At 42.1% G+C, this 23956-nt stretch overlaps 1 protein-coding gene and 1 long non-coding RNA gene across 6 annotated transcripts in view, besides 5 other annotated features; one reads left to right on the forward strand and one right to left on the reverse strand.

Annotated features, from left to right (window-relative positions):
* Nucleotides 1-23339, reverse strand: part of DCAF8 (DDB1 and CUL4 associated factor 8) — a 46830-nt gene extending 23491 nt beyond the window's left edge. The window contains exons 1-4 of one of the 5 annotated variants that reach the window (NR_028103.2): nt 22907-23339; nt 22075-22148; nt 4750-4824; nt 487-1160 (exon numbers count right to left, since the gene is read on the reverse strand). Coding sequence is in view for 1 of the 5 variants with exons in the window: in NM_015726.4 (NP_056541.2) it covers nt 487-1160; nt 4750-4798 (723 nt within the window). In the remaining 4 variants the exon portion in view is untranslated. Of the gene's footprint in view, nt 1-11; nt 1161-4749; nt 4825-22074; nt 22149-22906 lie in introns of those variants that run through there. The other 4 variants (NM_015726.4, NR_028106.2, NR_028105.2 and 1 more) reach the window with 4 other exon arrangements.
* Nucleotides 12826-12955: a silencer, noted in NCBI's record as "silent region_1460". NCBI's record gives its function as "represses an Ori minimal core promoter by ATAC-STARR-seq in GM12878 lymphoblastoid cells {active_cell/tissue: GM12878}" and the evidence as "EXISTENCE:reporter gene assay evidence [ECO:0000049][PMID:35858748]".
* Nucleotides 22274-23222: an enhancer, noted in NCBI's record as "NANOG-H3K27ac-H3K4me1 hESC enhancer chr1:160231274-160232222 (GRCh37/hg19 assembly coordinates)". NCBI's record gives its function as "activates a minimal SCP1, AML or CMV promoter by ChIP-STARR-seq in primed H9 embryonic stem cells {active_cell/tissue: H9 hESC(primed)}" and the evidence as "EXISTENCE:reporter gene assay evidence [ECO:0000049][PMID:30033119]".
* Nucleotides 22274-23423: a biological region, named in NCBI's record as "NANOG-H3K27ac-H3K4me1 hESC enhancer GRCh37_chr1:160231274-160232222".
* Nucleotides 22394-22523: an enhancer, noted in NCBI's record as "active region_1917". NCBI's record gives its function as "activates an Ori minimal core promoter by ATAC-STARR-seq in GM12878 lymphoblastoid cells {active_cell/tissue: GM12878}" and the evidence as "EXISTENCE:reporter gene assay evidence [ECO:0000049][PMID:35858748]".
* DCAF8-DT (DCAF8 divergent transcript) lies at nt 22539-23568 on the forward strand. The gene is made up of 2 exons (NR_147618.1): nt 22539-22712; nt 23191-23568. It is a non-coding gene; the product is annotated as a DCAF8 divergent transcript (long non-coding RNA).
* Nucleotides 23154-23423: an enhancer, noted in NCBI's record as "active region_1918". NCBI's record gives its function as "activates an Ori minimal core promoter by ATAC-STARR-seq in GM12878 lymphoblastoid cells {active_cell/tissue: GM12878}" and the evidence as "EXISTENCE:reporter gene assay evidence [ECO:0000049][PMID:35858748]".

A 23956-nucleotide genomic window follows, 5' to 3' on the forward strand; every position in this document is an offset into this window, starting at 1 on the left:
ACAGTATAAGCTAACATTTATCAAATGTTTATTAAGTACCAGTCACAGTTCTAACTGCTTAGCTTCTATTGTTACTTAATCCTCATAACCCTATGTGTTATTAGTCCCATTTTACAGATAAACTGAAGACAAAGGTAAAATAACTTGGCCAAGATCACTGAGCTAGTAAGCAGAAGGGCTAGGATTTGAACTCAGGCAGTTTGGTTCAAGAGCCTGTGCTTATACTACACTGCCTCCTACCAGCACACATTTAATAAGCTGCATGCACCCTACCTATGAGGCTTCCAACAGTCCACATGCTCAAGGAATCTAGGGTTGCCAAGAGTCTTTCAGTGTATTTAGGTCATTAGGGGAGCCAAAGTAGGGCCATGTCCCGATATGTAATTCCTACAATAACTCACTATCAGCTCCCAATCCATGCTGCAGTTCAGATTTCTCTAACTCATGCCTGATTCTCTCAGTTGCTATTATGCTCCCTTGCCTCACCTGGAACACATTACTTTTGTGGCCACTCTCAAAGTCCAGTACTGGCTGCCGCCGTACCCAATCCCACACCACCACCTTCAGGTCATCGCTGCCACTGGCCAGCCAGGTGCCGCGCTGGTTAAAGTGCAGGGTATTGACACAACCAGTATGGCCCTCAAGCCCATGCTGCAGGCGGAAACGCTGCACAAAGACTCTTGCCCCACAGGCCTCATAGACAAAGCGGGCACTTGAACCCAGCTCCCGCTCCCGAAGGGCAGGGAGGGCTTGCCAGCGAGGTCGGGGTAGAGCTGATGTTTCTGAGGACACCCAGTCCTCTAGGGCCCGCTCATCATCTGATGAGTCCTGGTCACGGTTAGCCCGCTTGCGCTGTACACGGCGCCGAGGCTGCTCTTCTTCCTCCTCTTCTTCCTCCTCTTCCTCTTCCTCTGAGCGGTCATGGACTCGATTTTCATCATTAATGGAGTAATGACCAGTGTCCTCCATGCTGTCAGAGTCCTTATCTTCACCTGAGCTCTCTGTGTCTGTGCCTCGACTTTCTGTGCTGGTGCGGTTGGGGCCACCATCATCCCCAGTCAAGCTCAAACTCAGGTCTGAGGCCTCCACTTCAATGCCTGAGGATGTCTCCCTCCCCTCTTCAGCTCCAGACATCTCCTCTGGACTGCTAGACAGGCTTCCTGCATGTTAGTGAGGAAGGAGTAGAGGAGAGGGAAAAATAAGAAAACAGGATAGTGACCACCTTAGTCTAAGAAATCTTCACATCAAAAGACCAAAAAATGAACTTTGGTCCAAGTGTTTTCATTACAAATAATTACAGAGAGTACCCTCTGAGGGGAAATCTTGTAAAGGACAAGAAATTGAAAAGATTAAGATCAAATCCACACACATAAAATACTTCAACAAAAGCAAAGAATCTCAGGACAATCTAAGATTATATTAAGTTCTCAAGAGGCAAAACATTGGCATATTGTATAAAAGTGTGCCTGATACATCTACCATTGGCTCTGTTGTATTGGATGGGCATTTATTAAGTTATAGCAAATAATTAAACAGAATATAAAAAGAAGAGCCAACTCCAGCAAGAGCTAGCATAGCCATCTTCTTAGCGAAAGACGGAAACCAGCTGATAAAAATCACTCTTGACTTATGGATGTGGTGTTGCACCATTTCCTACTTTAAGAAAGTATCAGGCCAGGCACGGTGGCTCACGCCTGTAATCCCAGCACTTTGGGAGGCCGAGGCACGTGGATCACGAGGTTAGGAGATCGAGACCATCCTGGCTAACATGGTGAAACCCCGTCTCTACTAAAAATACAAAAAATTAGCCGGGCGCCTGTAGTCCCAGCTACTCAGGAGGATGAGGCAGTAGAATGGCATGAACCCAGGAGGCAGAGCTTGCAGTGAGCCAAAGTCGCACCACTGCACTCTAGCCTGGGCGACAAAGCGAGACTCCATCTCAAAAAAAAGAAAGTACCACTACACCTTCTGTCACCTAAATCCTAAGCTTCTTCCCCACCTAAGTTTCTAAAATTCACTAAGAAAGCAAGCTGAAGGGGTAAGTGGGAATTGTGATCATTTGAGTGGGTTCTTGCTCACCTTTTGCTAGTAAATATATTTTGACTTACTTCCATTAGTTTGAATTTTTTAATATAATTCTTAGTCACACATTTTTAGTCTCTCTATTGAGACAGTTTTATTAGGAAGCATATATAAAATTGATAAAAAGCTGGGCTACTATAGTGGTGCCTAAGACGAAAGTTCAGTATATTCTAGGTCTGCTATGCTGATAGTTAAATAACTAGGTCACTTTTATCGATCTTATCTCCTATAACTACATACTGCATTCTCTTAACTCACAACAGTCAAGTCAATTCCAATGAGAACTTGAGGAATGTTCTAAAGCCAATACAACCACAACTTCCAACCTAAGTCAAGGTGTGAAGAAAAAAGGGGAGAATAAAGATTTTAAATGCTGCTCATGGGCCTCCTTTCCTCAGATGGCTATAAATTTTATCCGCCAGAAGTAAAAGCTGTCAGGAAAGGCAGACCATCCAGTATGAGCTATTCAACTCCAATACCACACTGATGTTTAAGGATTCAAAGGTGGAGCACCTTATTGCCTAGTCATGTGGATTAGAGCAGTAATTTGTGAAGAGCTCTGAAGCAATGTACTCTTAAGCAAAACCCAATACTGAAAAAAGATCAACAATACAAGTGCTTTGATTCAAGCAGTAACAGAAGCCCAGAAGACATAAACAGTTCTTGCAGGCTGGGCGCGGTGGCTAACACCTGTAATCCCAGCGCTTTGGGAGGCCAAGGCGGGTGGATCACCTAAGGTCAGGAGTTCAAGACCAGCCCGGCTAACATGGTGAAACCCCCATTTCTACTAGAAATACAAAAAATTAGCCGGGCGTGGTGGCATGTGCCTGTAATCCCAGCTACTTGGGAGGCTGAGGCAGAAGAATCGCTTGAACCTGGGAGGTGGAGGCTGCAGTGAGCCGAGATTGTGCCACCGTACTCCAGCTTGGTAACAAGAGCAAAACTCTGTCTCAAAAAAAAAAAAAAAAGCCTCAACTAAGAGCACAGTATAAAACAACTGGGCTAGGGGCTGGAAGAAAAAGTTATGAAGTACAGAAATTTGAACCCAAGGACCACATTTGCTGAGCCTGTTATATATGCTACGAAAGTTTAGCAGTTACAGTTTTTTGAAATGCAGCTGGGCTTGAGCTTGGGAGTGGTGAGCAGGGACTGAAACACCAACCTAACAGGTCTGTAGAAAAGAAAAAATAAAACACCAAAACATCTAGTGTTTATTGTTAAAATTATGAGTAACAAATATAGACAATTTTGGAGGCCTTACCACATTAACATAAGGGCCAGAGGGTATCACAAGCTCATCAAGAAGTCCCCAACAGTAAATCACCAAGATCTAGAGTAGGGGTTTGCAAATTTTTTCTGTAAAGGGCCAGATAGTAAAAACCTTAGGCTTTGCAGACCATACGGAGCTCCACCACAACTACTCAACTCCAGTATGTAGAACAAAAGCAACTCATAGACACTACATAAACGAACAGGCATGACTGTATTCCAATAAAACTTTACAAAAACAAGTGGCAGGCTGGATTTGGCCTGCAATTTATAGTTTGCCAATCCTTGACCTAGCTAATGGTCAAGCTCCAAATCAATAGTATACTTTAACTCCTCTAGAACCCTGTGCCTTTCAACTAAACCCAGTGAAAAATATGAACCACTTTCCTTTACAAAAGATGAATGAATGGCAGTGATAAGAACATATGGAGCAATAAAAAAGCATGTTGAAAATCTCACTTATCCTTCCTCCAATCACATCAACTAGAATTTAGCCTGTTATCCTGACCTTCAAGGTGCTAAGGAATGCTGGACTCTGTGCTGCCCAACTATATCCATTTAAAGGCGGCTTCTCTAATTTAAAAGTTGGCTCAGAGGTGAAGAGCTGGTTAAATAACCCAGGTGGTAGTTATACTCTATTAGAATTTTTATATTCTGCCTTCAAATCTGCCCTAAAGCCAGTGATTTGACACTTGGCAGCACTGGTCCTGAAAAGAAGGAGGAGGGAAAGGAAGGAAGGAAGGAAATAAATGGAAAGAAGGGAGGGGAAGTAAGGAAAGGAAATAAGGAGGGGAAAGATGTCCCACTCCTAGTTGGGTTGTAACTTCATCCCTTATGTAATCACCTTTTTTTTTTTTTTTTTTAAAAAGACGGGGTCTCGCTATGTTGCCCAGGCTGGTCTCAAGCTCCTGGGCTCAAGCGATCTGCCTGTCTCAGCCTCCCAAAGTGCTGAGATTATAGGCATGAGCCACCATGCCCAGCCATGTAATCTCTCTATCAAACTACTACTTACTGTGGAAAGGGACCTCTCAATATAACTGGGAAGCTCATCTTCCCTAAAATTCCCTTGTTCCTACTAGCCATTAGATTTTATTTTTCTCCTTTACTAACAGCATTTCCTAGGTTCTGCCCATCCTTATAGCTTTATAGAACTCCAAACCACTTGACCTCTTAGAAGTACAGCTCTGTTATTGATATTTTGAAAATGATCAGATAAAATCAGAAGAAGCAAAAGCATAATATAGTCCAAGGTGTTTCCTGTGTAGTTTCCTAAACTCAGAACAACACAGGAAAGTTTCCCTCTCTCCACTAAAATCCAGGCCTCCACTCTATCTTGCAGGGAGGAGGACAACCTCAGTTGATAGTAAAAATAGCTTCACCTTCATTTTGGCCCCTTACCATTAGCTAAGTCTGTTCTGCCATCTGTGCTGCTCCCTTTGCTGGACATCTTGAATGATGTTTGCTGTAGCCAGCCTGGGTTTGGGAGAGGAAGAAACCAAAACAATTAGGAAACCACCTGGGAAAGAAGACAATAGGGACAAGGAGATTTAACAATGTACAGGTTTTATCATTTTTATAAAAATGATTTGTGTATGCATGCTTAACAGGTCTTCTCAGCTTGTGAAATTTTTTCTTCCTTATGTTTTCTTCCCTATGTTTAAAATCCATATAATGATATATTTTTGGGGAGGTCAAGTGCCATCTCTTTACTTCACTCACTGAGTAACTGGCAGTGATTTTTCAGATGCGAAAGTGGGAACTAAAATAAAACCTGGAACAGGAGGCACATATCAAATGACAGGTACTGCAAGCCAAGAGTCTCAACTCAATACATAAAGCTAACTTCAGCATTGCCCCCTAGGCAAGAATCTTCCAATGTAAATAAGTGACATATGTATCCTCAAACTCTGTACAACACTTGTTTTCACAACATAAAGAGGTGGGTCAGATTCTGAGTATCATTTTACACACAAATCAACAGAAATCAACCTCTTGGGGGAAGAGATTGAGCTTTCTGTTCACTCAGATGACTAACTTCAAACCTATTATTATTATTCTTTCTTTTTTTTTTTTTGAGACAGAGTCTCATTCTGTCGCCCAGGCTGGAATGCAGTGGCGCTATCTAGGCTCACTGCAAGCTCTGCCTCCCGGGTTCACACCATTCTCCTGCCTCAGCCTCCCAAGTAGCTGGGACTACAGGCGCCTGCCACCATGCCCACCTTTCTGTATTTTTAGTAGAGATGGGGTTTCACTGTGTTAGCCAGGATGGTCTCGATCTCCCGAGTGATCCGCCCGCCTCGGCCTCCCAAAGTGCTGGGATTACAGGCATGAGCCACCACGCCCAGCCCAACTAACTTCAAACTTATTAAAGGCACAGATACTAAGGATTATAGAGCTGAAACTAGAAATCAGGAGCACCCTATCCCTAGGAAAGAAGCTTAAGTTGTTTTGTTTCCCTTAGGACTAACAGTCAGAGTCTCTAAGCACAAAGACAAAGGTGGGGAAGAAAAAGGCAACATTTCCATTAAACCATCTCATCCCATTTCATATAATGGCAAACACTGTTTCACCTAACAGCACCAGCTTTCACCAGACTCATCTTTCCTTAACAAGGAATCAGGGTATCTAACTCACTTCCTTTTATGCCACTATAAAACATTCATATTTTTTTCAGAGCCTCACTGCCACCTCCAGTAAATTCCAAAGAGCAAAGAATAATATTATTCAGACCAGAATTTTATTAAGCCCTTTCAGTGACTTGGACAAAAGGCACTAGTAAAAGACAAAGTATAATTATGACCCCAGTCCTTGTACCCAGGCACACTGGCCTCTAATCTTTCAACAGCCCTTTCATTCCCATGACAATTATTCCAGAAGCAGCCTCATCCTTATCTTTTCCTCCGCTACCCTCTATAGAAATCTAAGCTGCTTCATTAAAAGTATCCTCTGTCAAAAGACAGTAGCCCAAAGATTGTTCATAATAGGCCAAGGTGGGAATAGAAATACTGCAAGACTGGGGCTGAAGCTGACTGAACTTCAGGAAGGGACACCTGGAAGGGTGATGATGAAAGACAATGGCAACAAAAAACAGATATGTGAAGCAACATGAAGAAAAATAGTGAGAAGCTGTTTGCAATGCATTTTGTTTTCCTCATTTTTGAGGTAGACAGTTTTGTATAGCATTCCTCACACAGCACTTGTTTTTCCCTCTCAACAGTCCTTGTTTATATTCTTTAGAATAGGAGCCTATCTTCTCCATCTAGAGTTTAAAATTATATTAATTCCTATCAAGTGGGGAAAATGTACTACTTTGTTAAGATTAATCCCAGCACTTTGGGAGGCCGAGGAGGGCAGATCACCTGAGGTCAGGAGTTCGAGACCAGCCTGAGCAACATGGAGAAACCCTGTCTCTACTAAAAATACAAAATTAGCTGGGCATGGTGGCACATGCCTGTAATCCCAGCTACTAGGGAGGGTGAGGCAGGGGAATTGCTTGAACCTGGGAGGCGGAGGTTGTGGTGAGCCGAGATCGTGCCATTGCACCCCATCCAGCCTGGGCAACAAGAGCAAACTCCGTCTCAAAAAAAAAAATTAAAAAAAACTTATAAACTAAGGTAATAAGCAGACCAGTGTAACATGAAGAACAGATCTGATGTTTTCCCACCTCCATAATCAAAACTCTTTACCATACGTTTCACCCCACTATTATCCACTCCCAGAGAATTCAAAAGCAGCTGCAGAGAACCTCTCTCAAAACCAAGCATCAACTCCTACAGGAGCCCAGACTGCCTGAACTTTTGACTCATAATTGCTCTAGAAAATACATGTGCACAGATGATAAAAGTAAGTAGAATTAAATGTCAAAATTTCTGCAGAAGGATACTCTAGAGCAGTGGTCTCCAAACTTTGATTATGAACCTATATGAGTGAAAACTTTGAGCAGGAACCTGATGCTCACAGGTGTGGCATGCACCTGTAATCACAGCTACTCAGAAGGCTGAGAAAGGACTGCTTGAGCTCAGGAATTCAAGACCAGCCTGGGCAGAACTGTGAGACCCTTGTCTCTATAAATCAGTCAAGGAGGCAGAGATGCTGTGCCCTAGGTGTCAAGTATAGGAGCCACTGAAAAATCTTTTCCAGCCAGGCACGGCAGCTCACGCCTATAATCCCAGCACATTGGGAGGCCGAGGCAGGAGTTGGAGACCAGCCTGGGCAACATAAGAAGACCCCCGTCACTACAGAAAAGAAAAAAATCAGTCAGGCATATGCCTGTAGTCCCAGCTACTTGGGGTAGGGCTGAGATGGAAGGATCACATGAGCCATAGAAGTTGAGGCTGCAGTGACCTGTGATTATACCACTTCTCTCCAGGCAGGACGACAGAGCAAGACACAGTCTCCAAAAAAATAAAAAATAAAAAATCTTTTCCATTACCAAAGAATACAGTCTTAACTTTATAAACTGAGGTCTGCAGAGAACATATTTGATTCAAATCCAAACTATCTTCTTCACTTTTCACTGTATTTCCAACAAATCCACTATTTTTACTTTGATCAACTTTCATGTAAAATCTAGTCCAAAGCTAATCTTGCTGAGGTTGGAAAAGCTGATGAGCTCACTGTCCCAGGTAGTTGGAGGAGTTTAATTAGATTAGCTCCACTGTTCCTACTCTAAAAATAACCATAACTCCTGCCAAACTGAAGGTTAAAGAGTAACCCACTGGAGGGTGAGGAAAAAAGACCCAGGTGCCATTTTAATTTCACTAAGAAATTCCAGTGACCTAGATTTTTCTTGTCTTAATAAGAATAAAGCCTTAAATTTTTAACCAATTACATGACAAAATATTAACTAAAAACCAGGCAGAAAGACTTTACTACGCTGGATAAGAGTACTCTGTAAAAGAGATACCAAGTGTCTCTTGTTTAAAACTACTGGGGCTGCTCTTTTCCTCTAATATGATGAAAGATCTGCATAAGAGACTACGTATCCCTTGTCCGGTGTATCCTCTTACCCAAAATGCTTGGGGCCAGAAGTGTTTCAAATTTTTAAATATTTGCAATATACCAGTGGAGCATCTCAAATCAGAAAATTCAAAATCCAAAATGCTCCAACGAGTATTTCCTTTGAGCATCAAGTTGGCATTCGAAAAGTTTCAGATTTCAAAGCATTTTAGATTTCAGATTTTTTAATTTGGGATGCTCAACTTGTACCAGAATAACTGAACATTCAACTGCCAAAAGAAAAAAACTAAAGAACCTCAATCCATACATTGTACAATATACAAAAGCTAAGTCAAAATGAATCACAGACCTAAATATAACTTAAAACAACACAAGTTCCAGAAGAAAACAAAGAAAATAACCTTTGTGACCTTGGGTTAGGCAACAATTTCTTAGGATAGGACACAAAAAGCACATACAAAAAAATTAATCAGTTGGATTTATCAAAATTAATAAATTCTGATAAATCTGAGCGGTGGTTCAGGCCTGTAATCCCAGCACTTTGGGAGGCCAAGGCGGGTGGATCACCTGAGGTCAGGAGTTCGAGATCAGCCTGGCCAACATGGTGAAACCCCCGTCTCTACTAAAAATACAAAAATTAGCCGGGCGTGGTGGCACATGCCCGTAGTCCCTGCTACTGGGGAAGCTGAGACAAGAGAATCGCTGGAACCCAGGAGGTGGAGGTTGCAGTGAGCCAAGATAGTACCACTGCACTCCAGCCTGAGTGACAAAGAGAGACTCCATCTAGAAAAAAAAAAAAATTAAAATATCTCCAAGAGATACTGTTACAACAATGCAAAGACAAGCTACAGACTGGAAGAAAGTATCTACAAAACATGTATTTGATCAAGGACAGTAACCAGAATATCCTTTAAAACTGTCGCAACAGGCTGGGGCTGGGCGTGGAGGCTCACGCCTGTAATCCCATCACTTTGGGAGGCCGAGGTGGGCAGATCACGAGGTCAGGAGATCAGGACCATCTTGGCCAACATAGTGAAACCCCGTCTTTACTAAAATACAAAAAAATTAGGCAGGCATGATGGTGCGTGCCTGTAATCCCAGCTACTAGGGAGGAGGAGGTTGCAGTGAGCTGCGATCGCGCCACTGCACTCCAGCCTGGTGACAGAGCAAGACTCCATCTCAAAAAAAGAAAAAAAAAAAACTGTCACAACTAAATAATTATCGCGAGCTGGATATGGTGGCTCACACCTGTAATCCCAACACTTTGGAAGACTGAGGTGGGAGGATCACTTAAGTCTAGGAGTTCAAGGCTGCAGTGAGCTATGATCCTGCTACTCACTGCACTCCAGTCTACGCAACAGAGTGACACCATCTCAAAAAAAAAAAAGAGGGCGGGTGTGGTGCCTCACACCTGTAATCCCAGCACTTTGGGAGGCTGAGGCGGGCAGATCACCTGAGGTCAGGAATTTGAGGCTGGCCTGACCAACGTGGTAAAACCCCATCTCTATTAAAATACAAAATTAGCTGGGGGTGGTGGCACATGCCTGTAGTCCCAGCTACTGGAGAGGCTGAGACAGGAGAATCGCTTGAACCTAGAAGGCAGAGGTTGCAAGTGAGCTGAGATCGCACCACTGCACTCCAGCCTGGGCAACAGAGGAGACTCCATCTCAAAAACAAACCAAAAAAAGTACTGTAAATAATAATCCCTTGAAAAGATCCTCAACATTATTAATAATTAGGAAAATATAAATTAAAACCACAATGAGAATCCACTAAACACTTATTTGAATGGTCAAAAATTGTTTAAATAACAAAAATTTACTTTATTAAGTACTAACAAGAAGTAGAGCAACTACAACTCATATACACTGTTACTAGAAATGCAAAACAGTACAGTTACTTTGAAAAAAGCAATTTGGCAGTTTCTTATGAAGTTAAATATACACTTATCATACAACTCAGGAATCCCACTTCAGCTTCAGGAATTTATACAAGAAAAAAGAGGCTCAGACCTGTTATCCCAGCAATTTGGGAGGCTGAGGCAGGAGGACTGCTTGAGCCCAGGAATTAAAGACCAGCCTGAGTAACACAGCAATACTCCATCTTTAAAAATAAATAAATAAGATAAACAAGAAGGAAAATGTATGTCCACAAAATTAAAAATACCCTGTAGGTGAATGTTTTAATAGTTTTACTTAAATTCATCAAAAAACTGGAAACAAATTTTCTTCAGCTGGGTCATAGATAAACAAATTGTGGTAGGTCCACACAATGGGATACTACTGAGTAATAAAAAGGAATGAACTACTGATACAAGCAACAACATGGATAGATCTCAAGTATGTTATGGTAAGTGCAATAATTCAGACTCAAACAGCTATACAATATATGATTCCACTTATAGTACTTTCTGGAAAAGATAAAACTATAGGAATAGAGGGATCAGGGATTGCCAGGGCTTGGAGGTAGGGGAATGAAACTGACTACGAAAGGGCATGAGAAAACCTTTTGGAATGATGGAAATGTTCCATGCGCCAATCACAGTGGTGTTACATAACTATGCCTTTGTCAGAATTAAAAGAATAGGCCAACTCAAAAAAGGATAAATTTTACTGTATATAAATTATACCTTAATAAACGTGGCCTAAAAAGAGCGAATGCAGGCCGGCGCAGTGGCTCATGCCTGTAATCCCAACACTTTGGGAGGCCAAGGCGGGCAGATCACCTGAGGTCAGGAGTTCGAGACCAGCCTGACCAACATGGAGAAACCCCATCCCTATTAAAAGTACAAAAATATTAGCCGGGCGTGGTAGTGCATGCCTGTAATCCCAGCTACTCGGGAGGCTGAGGCAGGAGAATTGCCTGAACCTGGAAGGCGGAGGTTGCGGTGAGCCAAGATCGCACCATTGCACTCCAGCCTGGGCAACAAGAGCGAAACTGTCTCAAAAAAAAAAAAAAAAAAAAAACAGGATGAGAGAAGAGTGATGGGGGAAAATCATGCAAATTGTTAAATGACATAATACCATTAAAAACACTAAATTCTCAAGGCTGTGATTAATAGAAGTTGACAAAAATGGTCAATATATCATAGCAAATGAGAGCATAATGTCCAGACTTCTCACTTGAAAACGAAAGTGCTGAAAGGATTTTTGCTGCAACCAAGACTGCCTGTGTGATTTATCAGCGACCATATTAATGGCAAGATGAATCCTAAATACATAAAAAGTCTACAACCCTATTGTCTTGGTGATAACTAAGAATAGCAGAAATTTAAGTAGCTCAAAGTTGTTCTTGTGGTTGTACTATTAATTTGTATGTTTATGCTCTTTATTTTTTTTAAATTTCTCTGAATTTCATTTTAAATCCTCTGGTGCCTAGGGTCTATGAACACTGGTCTGACAACTACCTTACCTTGAGCCCGATCGAAACATCAACGTGTAAATATTATTATTGTCCTTGATCCCTTTACTAAGACCTGAATTCGGTCTGTCAAATCTCATGGTTTATATAATCCCAGCATTCTCTCAAACCAGTGCCTGCCTCATTCTGCTACTCAAGTGCCCAACTCTCCTACATAAACACCCATATTTAAATGAGACAAGGTTTTAGAATTTCCTCTGAAAGAAGAAGGTGATAAGAAAATACTTCAATTATTATTAAGACAGAGAGCCACACAGTCCCAAGTTTCTCTTGGGAGGACAGATGTCCCATACCACTCATAAATGAGCAGCTGTTCAGGGTTGATCTCCATCCAAAGTACAAATTTGCTTTTCTAGGTCCCACAGTCCATCTGGTATCAACTAGTTCTACTTTCTCCACCTCCAATTTTTGTTTCCAAGATGAAATGGCTCATTTTAAGTTTATTTTACTTTTCTTAATATTTCTCCTTCACAAGAAACACTTACTTCTCCAAGCCTACTTGCCTTCCACACTCTAATAGCATAGTGGTTTTGCAGATGTTCTTTTTTTTTTAAGACAGGGTCTCGCTGTTGTCCAGGCTGGAATTCAGTAATGTGATCTCAGCTCACTGAAGCCTCGATCTCCCAGGCTCAAGTGATGCTCCCACCTCAGCCCCTCCAGTAGCTGGGACTACAGGTGCATACTGCCACACTCAGCTAAATTTTTTGTAGAGATGGTGGTGGGGAACATGTTGCCCAGGCTGGTCTCGAACTCCTGGACTCAAGTGATCCACCTTCCTTGGCCTCCCAAAATGCTTGAGATTACAGGCACGAGCCACTGCACCTGGCCGTATAGTGTTTATTAATCAGAGAACCTCAGGCACTGAAACTCAAAGGATGACCCCAAAGAGGCTGAAACTCATTATATAAAGCATGTTTATGGTAGGTAGGACTTTAGTTCTGGGCTATTTTCTATTAAGTACTTGGAGGGGTCCAACATATGACACTGTCTCCTCTGGTAGGCTGGACAGATGAGCAGAAAGAAACTGAATGTTTCTGTAACAGAAAAATTAATCTCTATTCCTACTGTGCTGAAGATCTGACAGTACAAACAACCCAACTGCAGAGAGACTCTAGCAGGTAGACTCTAGCTGGGAGTCTAGGCTACTCATTTTTATACAAATCACAAGCCTCTGGCACCACCCAGTGGCCTATGTGTAAGCAAACATGCTGTTACACAACAGCATTGGTACCAGGCAATTTAGAAGCTACAAATATAAACAAGGCAGTCACAATCCCATTTGTAGCCAATTAATCAATTAGGAAAAATGAGTGATACAAGAGATAAAAGTATCTATCATTTTTTAAAAAGATAAATAGAATGCTGTTGTGGTTGAACAGAGGAAAAGATTATATTTAGTTTCAGGGAAAAACGAAATGCTTCCATGGAAAATTAGCTTTTAAGATGGGCTTTAAAAGACAGGCAGGATTTCAACGGGTAGAGTTGAGAAAGACATTCCACAGGACCAGAGCAAGAAAAGATATGGAGGTTAAAAACCTGACATGGTCAAGAAACATATATGGGTAGTCTACTTTGGCTAGATGGTAAGGTATAGTTGATTAGTTAAGAAGTATAATAAAAGCTTTGTTGTTGGGGGGCAGGCAGTCAGGCATCAGAGAAATTATTTTGTCAAAGATAATAAGATGGACTGAAATGAAGGAAAAGGAAAGAGAAACAAGTTTAAAAGCTATTATAGTTGCCAAGATAAGAAGTAATGAGGGGCTGTCTTGGGTTGATGGCAAAAGGAATTAAAAAGGGATCAACATGAGAATCGTTGTAAAGGTAGATAATGTTTAGCTCAATAAGCAGTTACAAAGCTGAGTTAAGAAGGACAAGTTCTTAGTCTGGCGCCCAGAGAAAATCAAGTGACACAAATGAGAAGCTGGCAGGTGGGATGAGAAATTATTCTGAATAAATTTAAAATCCAAGCCGACATGTTAGGAAGGTACTGACGAACAAATTTAAGTTTGGAACTTAAATAAAGTAAGGCCAGAGATACAGACTTGTGAATTATCTGTACAGAGAAACTTCAAAATCAAACACCTTGTAAATCATATCTCACTAAAACAAACAATTAGTTACCTAAGAAGGCTCTGGGAGAGGATGTTCAAGGGAAGAATCTTGAGGAATACCTACCCTTAGAGAAGAGAAAGGAGAGCAGAGAGAAAAATTGAGAAGAACGAATAATCAAAATTAAACCTCTGGAAGTCAAGAATAAAAAGGTTTCAAGGTGAGGATAGGCTGGGCGCAGTGACTCATGCCTGTAATCCCAGCACTTTGGGAGGCTGAGGCTGGAGGATCGCTTGAGTCCAGGAATTTGAGACCAACCTGGGCAACATCAGGAGACCCTGTCTCTAGAAAAAATTTAAAAATTAGGCTGCGCACAGTGGCTGACGTCTAAGTGACGCTGGTAATCCCAGCACTTTGGGAGGCTGAGGCGGGTGGATCACCTGAGGTCAGGAGTTTGAGACAAGCCTGGCCAACATGGTGAAACCCTGTCTCTACTAAAAATACAAAAATTAGCCACACGCGGTGGCATACGCCTGTGATTCCAGCTACTCAGGAGGCTGAGGCAGGAGAATCACTTGAACCTGGGAGGCAAAGGTTGCAGTGAGCCGAGATCGCACCATTGCACTCCAGCCTGTGCGACAGGGTGAGACTCCATCTCAAAAAAAAAAAAAAAAAAAAAAAAAAAAAATAGCAGGGTGTGGTGGTGTACACCTGTAGTCCCAGCTACTTGGGAGGCTGAAGTGGGAGGATCACTGGAGTCCCAGAGGTCGAGATTGCAGTGAACTGTGATGGGGTCACTGCACTCCAGCCTGGGTGACAGAGCAAGTCCCTGTCTCAGAAAAACAAACAAAAAAACCAAGAAGGTAAGGAGGATAGTCCATGCTTCCAAAAAAATACAGAGAACAGTATACTGTCAAAAGGCTGTAAGAGTCAGAACAGCTTTTCCCCTGGAATTATCTCAGAGATTGAATGGAATGCTGATTTTCTCTCCAGTAAAGAATCATAAAACACTAGGATTCAGCTATCTCTTAAATCTATAAAAATTATTTCCTGGGATGGGTGCGTGGCTCATGCCTGTAATCCCAACACTTTGGGAGGCCGAGGCAGGCGGATCATGAGGTCAGGAGTTTGAGACCAGCCTGGCCAACATGGTGAAGCTCCGTCTCTACTAAAAATACAAAAATAAGCTAGGTATGGTGGTGCATGCCTGTAATCCCAGCTACTGGGGAGACTGAGGCAGAAGAATCGCATGAAACTGGAAGGCAGAGGTTGCAATGAGCCAAGATTGTGCCACTGCACTCCAACCTGGGCCAAAGAACGAAACTCTGTCTCAAAAAAAAAAAAAAATTGTTTTCTTAAAAACTCATTAGCTTACCAATATAGCATAACTATGTCTAAACAATAAAAAAAGTTTGTATTCCTACTGTCATTTGAATAATTTATATACATATGTTTATAAGAAATATTTAATTCTACCTTTCAGCTTCATCTCTTGGCTTTGAAAAGCCCTGGTTTTTTTTTTGGCCAGGTACCATGGCTCACGCCTGTAATCCCCACACTTTAGGAGGCCGGGCCGGGTGGATCACGAGGTCAAGAGATCAAGACCATCTTGGCCAACATGGTAAAACCCCATTTCTACTAAAAATACAAAAATTAGCTGGGCATGGTGGCATGCGCCTGTAGTCTTAGCTACTCGGAGGCTGAGGCAGGAGGACTGCTTGAACCCGAGAGGGGAAGGTTTCAGTGAGCCAAGTCATGCCACTGCACTACAGCCTGGCGACAAAGCAAGACTCCATCTAAAAAAAAAAGAAAAAAGAAAAGTCCTATTTTTAAAGACAGCATGTGTTATGAAAGAAAGAAAAGGGCTTTGGTGTCAAACAGACCTGGGTTTGAATTCTACCTCTACCACCTGCTTTTGAGTTTTTCTTTTGTAAAATGGGATAATATTACCACCCTGCAGGAATTTAGAGGATTAAAAATAATGTATGCTAAGAGCCTGTTTGTACATAGTAGCCATTTATATTATTTTTCTAGTTTCCCATCTCTATACCAGACTACATTTCCTAGAAAATCCTGGACCTCTTTACCACTCAGCAATGATTCTCCAAACATCGTATATAATATAGGACACAGTCCCAAGTCTATGAAATCTGCTTACCCTTTCTGGCGTTTTAAAGAATTCAGAGAGCTCCGTTAATATCTTCTTTCAAGTATTCATGTTCTACGAACTGCAGTAAGACAATCTACCCAGGAACCCACAATATAAGCCTCCCTAAGTTTTTCTCCCTCTTTTAATTTTTAAAATAGATTTTTTTACTATTATTATCGTAGAGACGGAGTCTCACTATCTTGCCGCGTGGTCTCAAACTCCTGAGCTCAAGTAATCCTCCTACCTTGGCCTCCCAAAGTGCTGGGATTATAGGTATGTACCACCACACCTGGCCTCTTCTCCCTCTTGAAGGTTCTGAGGATACCCAAGATGGAAGACTGCAAAGCAATCACCATGGATAATGATGAGGATTCAAACTATGAATAAGGAACTTTGTTCCTTCTTTGAATTAATGCCTTCTCTCCCTATTGGTAACATAAAATGCCCAGTGTTTATAGTTTACTGGCTTTAATTATTGTTTTTTTATTTTTATTTTTTTGAGACAGGGTCTCACTCTGTCACCCAGGCTGGAGTACACTGGTGTGATATTGGGTCACTGCAACCTCTGCCTTCTGGGTTCAAGCAATTCTCCCGCCTCAGCCTCCCAAGTAGCTGGGACTACAGGTGCATGCCACTGCAGCTGGCTAATTTTTATATTTTTAGTAGACACAGGGTTTTGCTATGTTGGCTAGGCTGGTCTCAAACTCCTGACCTCAGGTGATCCGCCCGTCTCAGCCTCCCAAAATGCTGGGATTACAGATGTAAGCCACCGTGCATGGCCTCTGGCTTTAATTCTAATAACAGTATTTCAGACTATGTCAGGAATGCACTCTAACCCTTAAGTGTTAATTTCCAGCAGCAGAACTAAGCAAACTTTTTTTTTTTTTTTTTTTTTTTTTTTTAAGAGACAAGGTCTTGCTATGTTGCCAGCCTGAAACTCCTGGGCTCAAGCAGTCCTCCCAACTCAGCCCCCCGAGTAGTTGGGATTACAGGTACATGCCACTGCACCTGGCTAAGAGAACTTTCTATAAAAACATCCAGGACCATTTATCTCAGTTTAACTAATTCCTAGGGAAATCTACTTTTCATTTTGTTTCCATCTCAATTTACATTTACATCAGAAGTCTGTTGCCATTAACAGTTTTTGCCATTTATATTTCAAATTTTTCTTAAACTGGAGAGGATTTAAGATGAAAAAATGATGCTCCCAAGGTACAACTTACAATAAAACATTAAAGAGAGGCTTAAAACCTCAAGAAGTGCCTTCCTACAGGTTAGGTTAGAAGAAAGGGTCTAATGTTGGATTCTAAGTAAGGTTAACAAAACATACCTGGTAATGTGGCAATCATTAAAGTACACCAGAGGAATACAGTAACTTGACTACCATTAGAGGTAAACCCTATAGTAGCTTTCCAGATGGCTAAGAAAAAGCCAGGAAGAAAAAAAAAAATGGCACGTGAGGCAAATATGTATGCTTCACTTTAGAACTTGGCCAGACTTCCTTAAACAGTAACTTCAGAGGATAAACAGCAAATATCTAATCTAAAATGTTTGCATTGACCCAATCCACTAGACATACTATTAATACATTTCATTAATAAGATGACATCTTTGTCATATTAATTACTCCCCAATGCCCTATTGGCAACCTCAAGGCAGCCTCCGTTCATTAATTTATCTGTATCATAACACATTCCTGGGGTTAGATGGTACTTGAGAAATCTGGCTTCTGGCCCAGGAACTATGTCCTACAGAGGTAGAGATAAAAAAAAACTGCTGCAAAGAAGTGACTAATTCATAAAATTCATCACTCGCTAATTTTTGAAAAGCTTTCAAAGACTTTCTACTCACTCCAAGAGCAGAATGACTAAATCAATAAAGAGCAAGTAGCCTCCTTTTCTGACTGATTTTAACAGCAATGATGTTTCTTGGCTACATTTGTAAAAATAAAAGATGAAGTTTTTAATATTACTATAAAGCTAATCTAAAACTCACTGGCTTTTGGCTCTAAAATGAAAATATACAAAGTCACTACCCCATGCCTATTGCTGATTCAATTAATTCAGTTGCCTGTGTTCCAAATAGGTGAGGGTAAACAGCAGATTATCTTAGCTCACTGATAATCTGCTTTAAAAAAAAAAAAAGCTAATTCAATCTCAGAGACTTAAAAACTAACTCTAACACCAATGTTATGCAATAAAAAGTCTGGTTTGGATACCGTTATTTCTCTTTTATAATCTGGATATTTCCTAGACATGTTTAGAATAAACTTTTATACAGTAGAAATAATGGAGTAATGAATCTATCTACTGAAAGCATTTTAATAGTCACTTTATGATTTTAAAAGCCTATTACTCCCCTGATAGAATACAAGACTTAGAGCACGAAACTCAAGATCCCAGTCTTTCACAACAGGGTGCGCTTCTATACAATGTCTCCTACTAGAATCTGTTTGCTTTTAAAATGCCAGTATTGTTTTAAACTGGCAACAAAGAGGCTGCTTTCTTTCAGCTCTCTGTAGACAAGCTTCTGTCTTAGGTTGGTCCTACTCCACACTAAGGACCATGGCACTGGAACTGATTCTTTTTTTTGAGACTAGGTCTCGCTCTGTTGCCCATACTAAACTGCAGAGGCGCAATCTCAGCGCACTGCAGTGATCACTGCGCAATCTCAGCTCTACCTCCTGGACTCAAACAATCCTCCCACCTCAGCCTCCCAAGGAGATGGGACTGCAAGTACTTGCCCCATGCTTGGCTTTTTTTTTAAACTTTTTGTAGAGACAAGGTCTCAATATTGCCTAGGCTGGACTTGAACAACTAGGATCAAGTGATCCTCCCACCTTGGCCTCCCAAAAGTGCTGGGATTACAGCCATGAGCCAGCCGCACTCAGCCTGGCAGATTCTTATACATTTAATTGACTGCATTTAGCAGGGTGCAGTGGCTCACGCCTGTAATCCCAGCACTCTGGGAGGCTGAGGCAGGAGGATTGCTTGAGCCCAGGGGTTTGAAACCAGCCTGGGCAATATGGTGAAACCTCATCTTTACAAAAAATACAAAAATTAGCCAGGTACGGTGGCGTGCACCTGTAGTCCCAGCTACTCGAGAGGCTGAGATGGGAGAATCACCTAAGCCCAAGAGGTCGAGGTTGCAGTGAGCCATGATAGTGCCACTGCACTCTAGGTGACAGAGTGAGATCCTATTTCAAAAATAAATAAATAGACTGCACTTTAAGAGGTTGGTGGTGGGAACTAAAAGGTCACAAGCATTCTTAGCCTCCCACTCTAATCATCCTAGGAAATACTACCTAATAAGATGTCACAATTCTTAAGTAAACACCTAAAACCCTGGAAATATAAAAATATCTTCAAGCTGGGTGCTGCGGCTATGCCTGTAATCCCAGCACTTTGGGAGGCCAAGATGGGAGCATCACTTGAGCCGGGCAAGTAAGACCTCATCTCTTTAAAAAAACAAACAAACAAAAAAAAAACAACCAAAAATTAGCTAGGTATGGTGATATGCCCCTGCGGTCCCAGCTACTCAGCTGAGGTGGGAAGATCACTTGAGCCCAGGAGTTTGAGACCAGCCTAGGCAACAAAGTGAGACCCTATCTCTACAAAAATAAAAAAAACTTTAGAAAGATAAAAAGTTTACAGTGTGGTCCACAGACTAGAAATACTGATTTACTACATATAGATGTCACCTGGACATTCTTACCCAGCACATAAGGAAATAAACAGTCCAAGTTATCCCTCTTTCAAAGTATTTCCTTTTCTCCTCCCATCCTTTCCTTCACCCGACATGGATCTTCAGAGTTCATAAAAACACAAATGATACAAATGCAATCTCAACCCACCTCACCACCACCCTGGAGAATCCTTACCTTACAATGGAGAATTTAGACCCTGGATGATGGTAATGAAAAGTTCATCAAACCTAAAATGGTCACTGGTCTGAATGACACAGCTGCTTTCATTGTGATATTATCAGTACTTAATTTTCATGTGCCCTTGCCAAAAAGATACGAAAGAAAAGCCAACAAAAGGTTTAAAACTCTTCATCTGTGCTGTCATATTATTAAGACGGTCCAGCTGTGGAGCTGAAAAAAGAACTCTTTGGCCGGGCATGGTGGTTCACACCTGTAATCCTAGCACTTTGGGAGGCTGAGGCGGGCAGATCACAAGGTCAGGAGATTGAGACCACCCTGGCCAACATGGTGAAACCCCTCCTCTACTAAAAATACAAAAATTAGCTGGGCATGGTGGCGCATGCCTGTAATCCCAGCTACTCGGGAGGTTGAGGCAGGAGAATCGCTTGAACCAGGGAGTCGGAGGTTGCAGTGGGCTGAGATCGCGCCACAGCACCCCAGCCTGGTGACAGAGCAAGACTCGTCAAAAAACAAACAAACAAACAAAAAAAACCTCTTCATTCCTAACTCCCCAGCCCTGATTCACTTTTAAAAAAAGAGACCTTTTCCTCATACAGTTCTTTGATAATTTGTTGATGAGGATCACTGTATAGCCCAACAAGAAGGAAAAAATGTATTCCCTTCATGGCAAAAAAGGAAAGTATAAAGAATAGTTGCAGTAGAAGTAAACAACATTGCAGCAGAGAGGGAAAGAATTACAACACGGCCAACTCTGATCAGGTGTGCTAACAGAGAGTCCAAGATGAAGGAACCAATGAACAAAAAAATTTACTGATGTTTAAGAATACATTTTGAAATATACATACACCAATATCTAATATTCTCTGTCCTCTGGTTATGAACCCCCACCAAGGGTTTCATGTTCAGAAGACAACTCTAGGTGGGCACTTACAAAGGACACGTCTAAGCTGACCAATTAAAAATCAGTTGGGAAAATTAACCAGAAAAATGTGTTCTAAGGCAAAATGTAAAAGAAGCATAAATTAACGTATAACTTATTCAAAGCTGTATCAATGATGTGCAAAAAAAAAAAACCAAAAAACAACATTTTTTGAGTGTGTACCACGTGTTCTTAGATTACTAAGAGCTTTAAATAGATTCCCTATAATACTAACAATGACCCTGGGAGGTAAGTGGTATTATCACACTTTTAGAGTTGTGGAAATTAAGAGTCAGAGAAGTTTAAGTAACTTGCTCAAGGTCACATGGCTAAGAAATATTAGTCTAGTATTTAAACCTTAAAATTAAATTAAAAGTCTGTCCAATCTCTAAAGACTGTACTTTTCTCTTTATATCTTACTGATACACATATACACCATCACTAATAATTTTATTCCAGTCCATGATGAGCATTTTCTAATTCAGTCATCAGATGGAATAAAACTCACCAGTGTCACTCAATATTTTCCTACTACAAATCATAAAGATATTAGGAATTGGCCAGGCCTACCTTCCAGTCACTTAGCTTTTCTGTCACATGCCATGAGCCTCTAGTCTCTGCTACCAGAAACCTGAAAGCCTCACGAAAACTGCATTTATAAGTATGTTCTGACTCCCTTTTTGGCACCAACCCATGCTGCTGAATGCCCAGGATGTTTCTTCTGCTAACCAAGAATTCTTCAGACCAGCTACAAAAGAAAGAGCAGCCACTATTTTTTTTTTTTTTTTACAAAAAATTTCCCACTATATCCTAAAAAGTCGGAATTCTGAAATAGACTGGACTCAGACACCAACTAAAGGCAGCATCACTCATCACTCCCCAGCTTTTAGTCACAAGCAGCTAAATATTCTCCTCTAAATACCAAGGGATGACAACCCGAAGCTGTGAGAGGGGAAGAGACCTGATTTGACAACAGGATGAACAGAACTCAGGCAAACTAAGTTCCAGTTTTTAACAACGTAAAAAATATGATCGACACAAAGACAAAATACAAGGAAAATGAATAAAGAAGAAAAGAAGACATGGGGCAGGGGGCACACATTCACTTCTAGGCTTAAGTCATTTGGAGATACACAGCAATAGTTTAGGACAGAAAGACAAGAAGCCCACAGACAATTAAACTTGTAAAAGTAATTCAACCAGAGCTGGAACAAAGCCAAGAACAACACTCAAGCTCTTTGGGAAACTGGTAGGAATTTTATGACTTTAGTGGTCAGCAGTTGAGCATCAGCGCAGTCTGTCTTGAACTCAAGAATTTTAATGCCTCCAACTCCCACTCACCTTTCCTCCTTTTATCACTGAAGTAAGGCCAGGCTGAGCTCCTGAGAAAATAGGTCTGTAGATTCACTGAAGGACTGAGAAAAGTTAAAATTTACATGGCAAAGGTGTGTCTTCTACTGAACATAATAAAAATATTTATGAATACACTTTAGTATTTTTAGGCCTTCTCAAAACTACTTAAAAGCAGAATACTTTATCTAATTCTAATTACTGAACAAATAACCCACACACATATGGAAATAAAATGAACCAACATGAAGATTAGAAGCCAGGCAAGTAATCTCCCAGCTCCACTAAAACGTAAAGTCATTTAAAAGGATAACCTGAATCTTTTCAACGCTAAACCATAACCAAACAACCTCTCAACAAGAAGCCACAGAGCAGGGGGGGAAATCCCGGAGAGAATGTGATAGCGCTAGTGCCGGTTTGTTTACAGAGACTCCAGTAACAATCATGAGTCAGAAATTCAAGCCACCAGATGCTTTCCAACTAACAGGGACCAAATGGGACCGTTCTAAGATATCCTAAAAGATTTGGGAGTTAGAGGAGGTAAACTAAGATAATTATATTACAAAGGGTACAAGACCACAAGACAACAACCGACTCCGGAATTCTTGGACCTCCGCCTTCCGTACAAGGTGCTGGGCCTGGGAACTTGGGATGGGGGAGGGGGACACATTGCGCGGTGGCCCTGAGGTGACGGGGAGACGCAGGGCGAGCCGTGTCCCTCAATCTAAGGGGAGAAATAGGAGCGCACACATGGGTCACCCAACGAAGCAAGGCGTCCCTGTGAACTGTGCGGCTGGCTCTTGGGGGCAACACCAGGGCTGACCTGAGGAAAGGGCAACCAGTACTCCCAGCGATGACTTCGGGTCGGCGGAAGGAAAAGACCTGAGCGCTAAGAGCTTGGGATACGGGTCAGGCCCATCCTTAGGGGAAACCGGCTGGGAAGCGAGGGGGGGCGCAGGCCGAGCCGGAACGAGACACAGACCGGGTAGGTCAAGGGAGGGGGGGTGTCCGGCTGGGGCAGTTACAAGCACGGGAATCGGCGAGGCTCAGCAGCCCGCTTCCCGTCTTGGGTCATCCTTCTGCTAGCGGCTGCTCCGACTGTTCCAGGCCCAGCCGCCCCGTCCACTGCCACCACCAACGCCGCCGCCATCTTACACTGGCCAGCGGCCGCCACCACCACCGCCTCCGCTCTCTGCGCTTGCGCCTGCGCTGCCACGCTTTCCGGCCCCGTTTGCGACGATGTGCTCGAGAAGACTGAGGGAAGAGTGGTCGCGCGAGCTCACGGCTCGCAACCCTCCTCGAAGGACGCACAAGGGGCGGGGCTTAAGGCCAACGGAAAACAGAGCGAGAGGCGCCTGCGCATTACCGAAGAGGCAAAGTTGTTTTTGTAGTTTCTTCGGGCTTGCTTATCTTGTGATACTCTAAACAAATGCGAGTTAGGGGCTACCCAGAGTTGTGATAGAAATAAACTAAATTTCCAGCGGATTGGCAGGCCACTTCCTGGATGATGGCCAGTTTTGCCGTTTTTGAACACTGGAACGAGCAATGATTGCCACAAGGATTTCTTCTGAAAATCCCCGTTTCCTTTCAGGGCTTTGTTTCCTTAAGTGGTTTCTATACTATCGAGGCCCATTTTCCCCTGAGAGTCCCCATTTACGTATTTTTAAAGAAGGGGCTCAGTAGCTTGAGGTGTAGCTATTCCAGAAGCTCTTTTCTGAAGAGAGGTGGTGTGGGTAAAGGTTCCCAAGAGTGGGCCGGGTGATGTGGGGTGACTTTTGTACTCTGTTTCGTTATGACACCTACAGTAACCCTGCAGAGGATTACTCCCAGCTGCCAGGCTGGGGTATTTTTTTTTTTTTTCTTACCAGAAGCC

This window comes from Homo sapiens, chromosome 1, assembly GCF_000001405.40.
Source record: "Homo sapiens chromosome 1, GRCh38.p14 Primary Assembly".
NCBI lineage: Eukaryota > Metazoa > Chordata > Mammalia > Primates > Hominidae > Homo > Homo sapiens.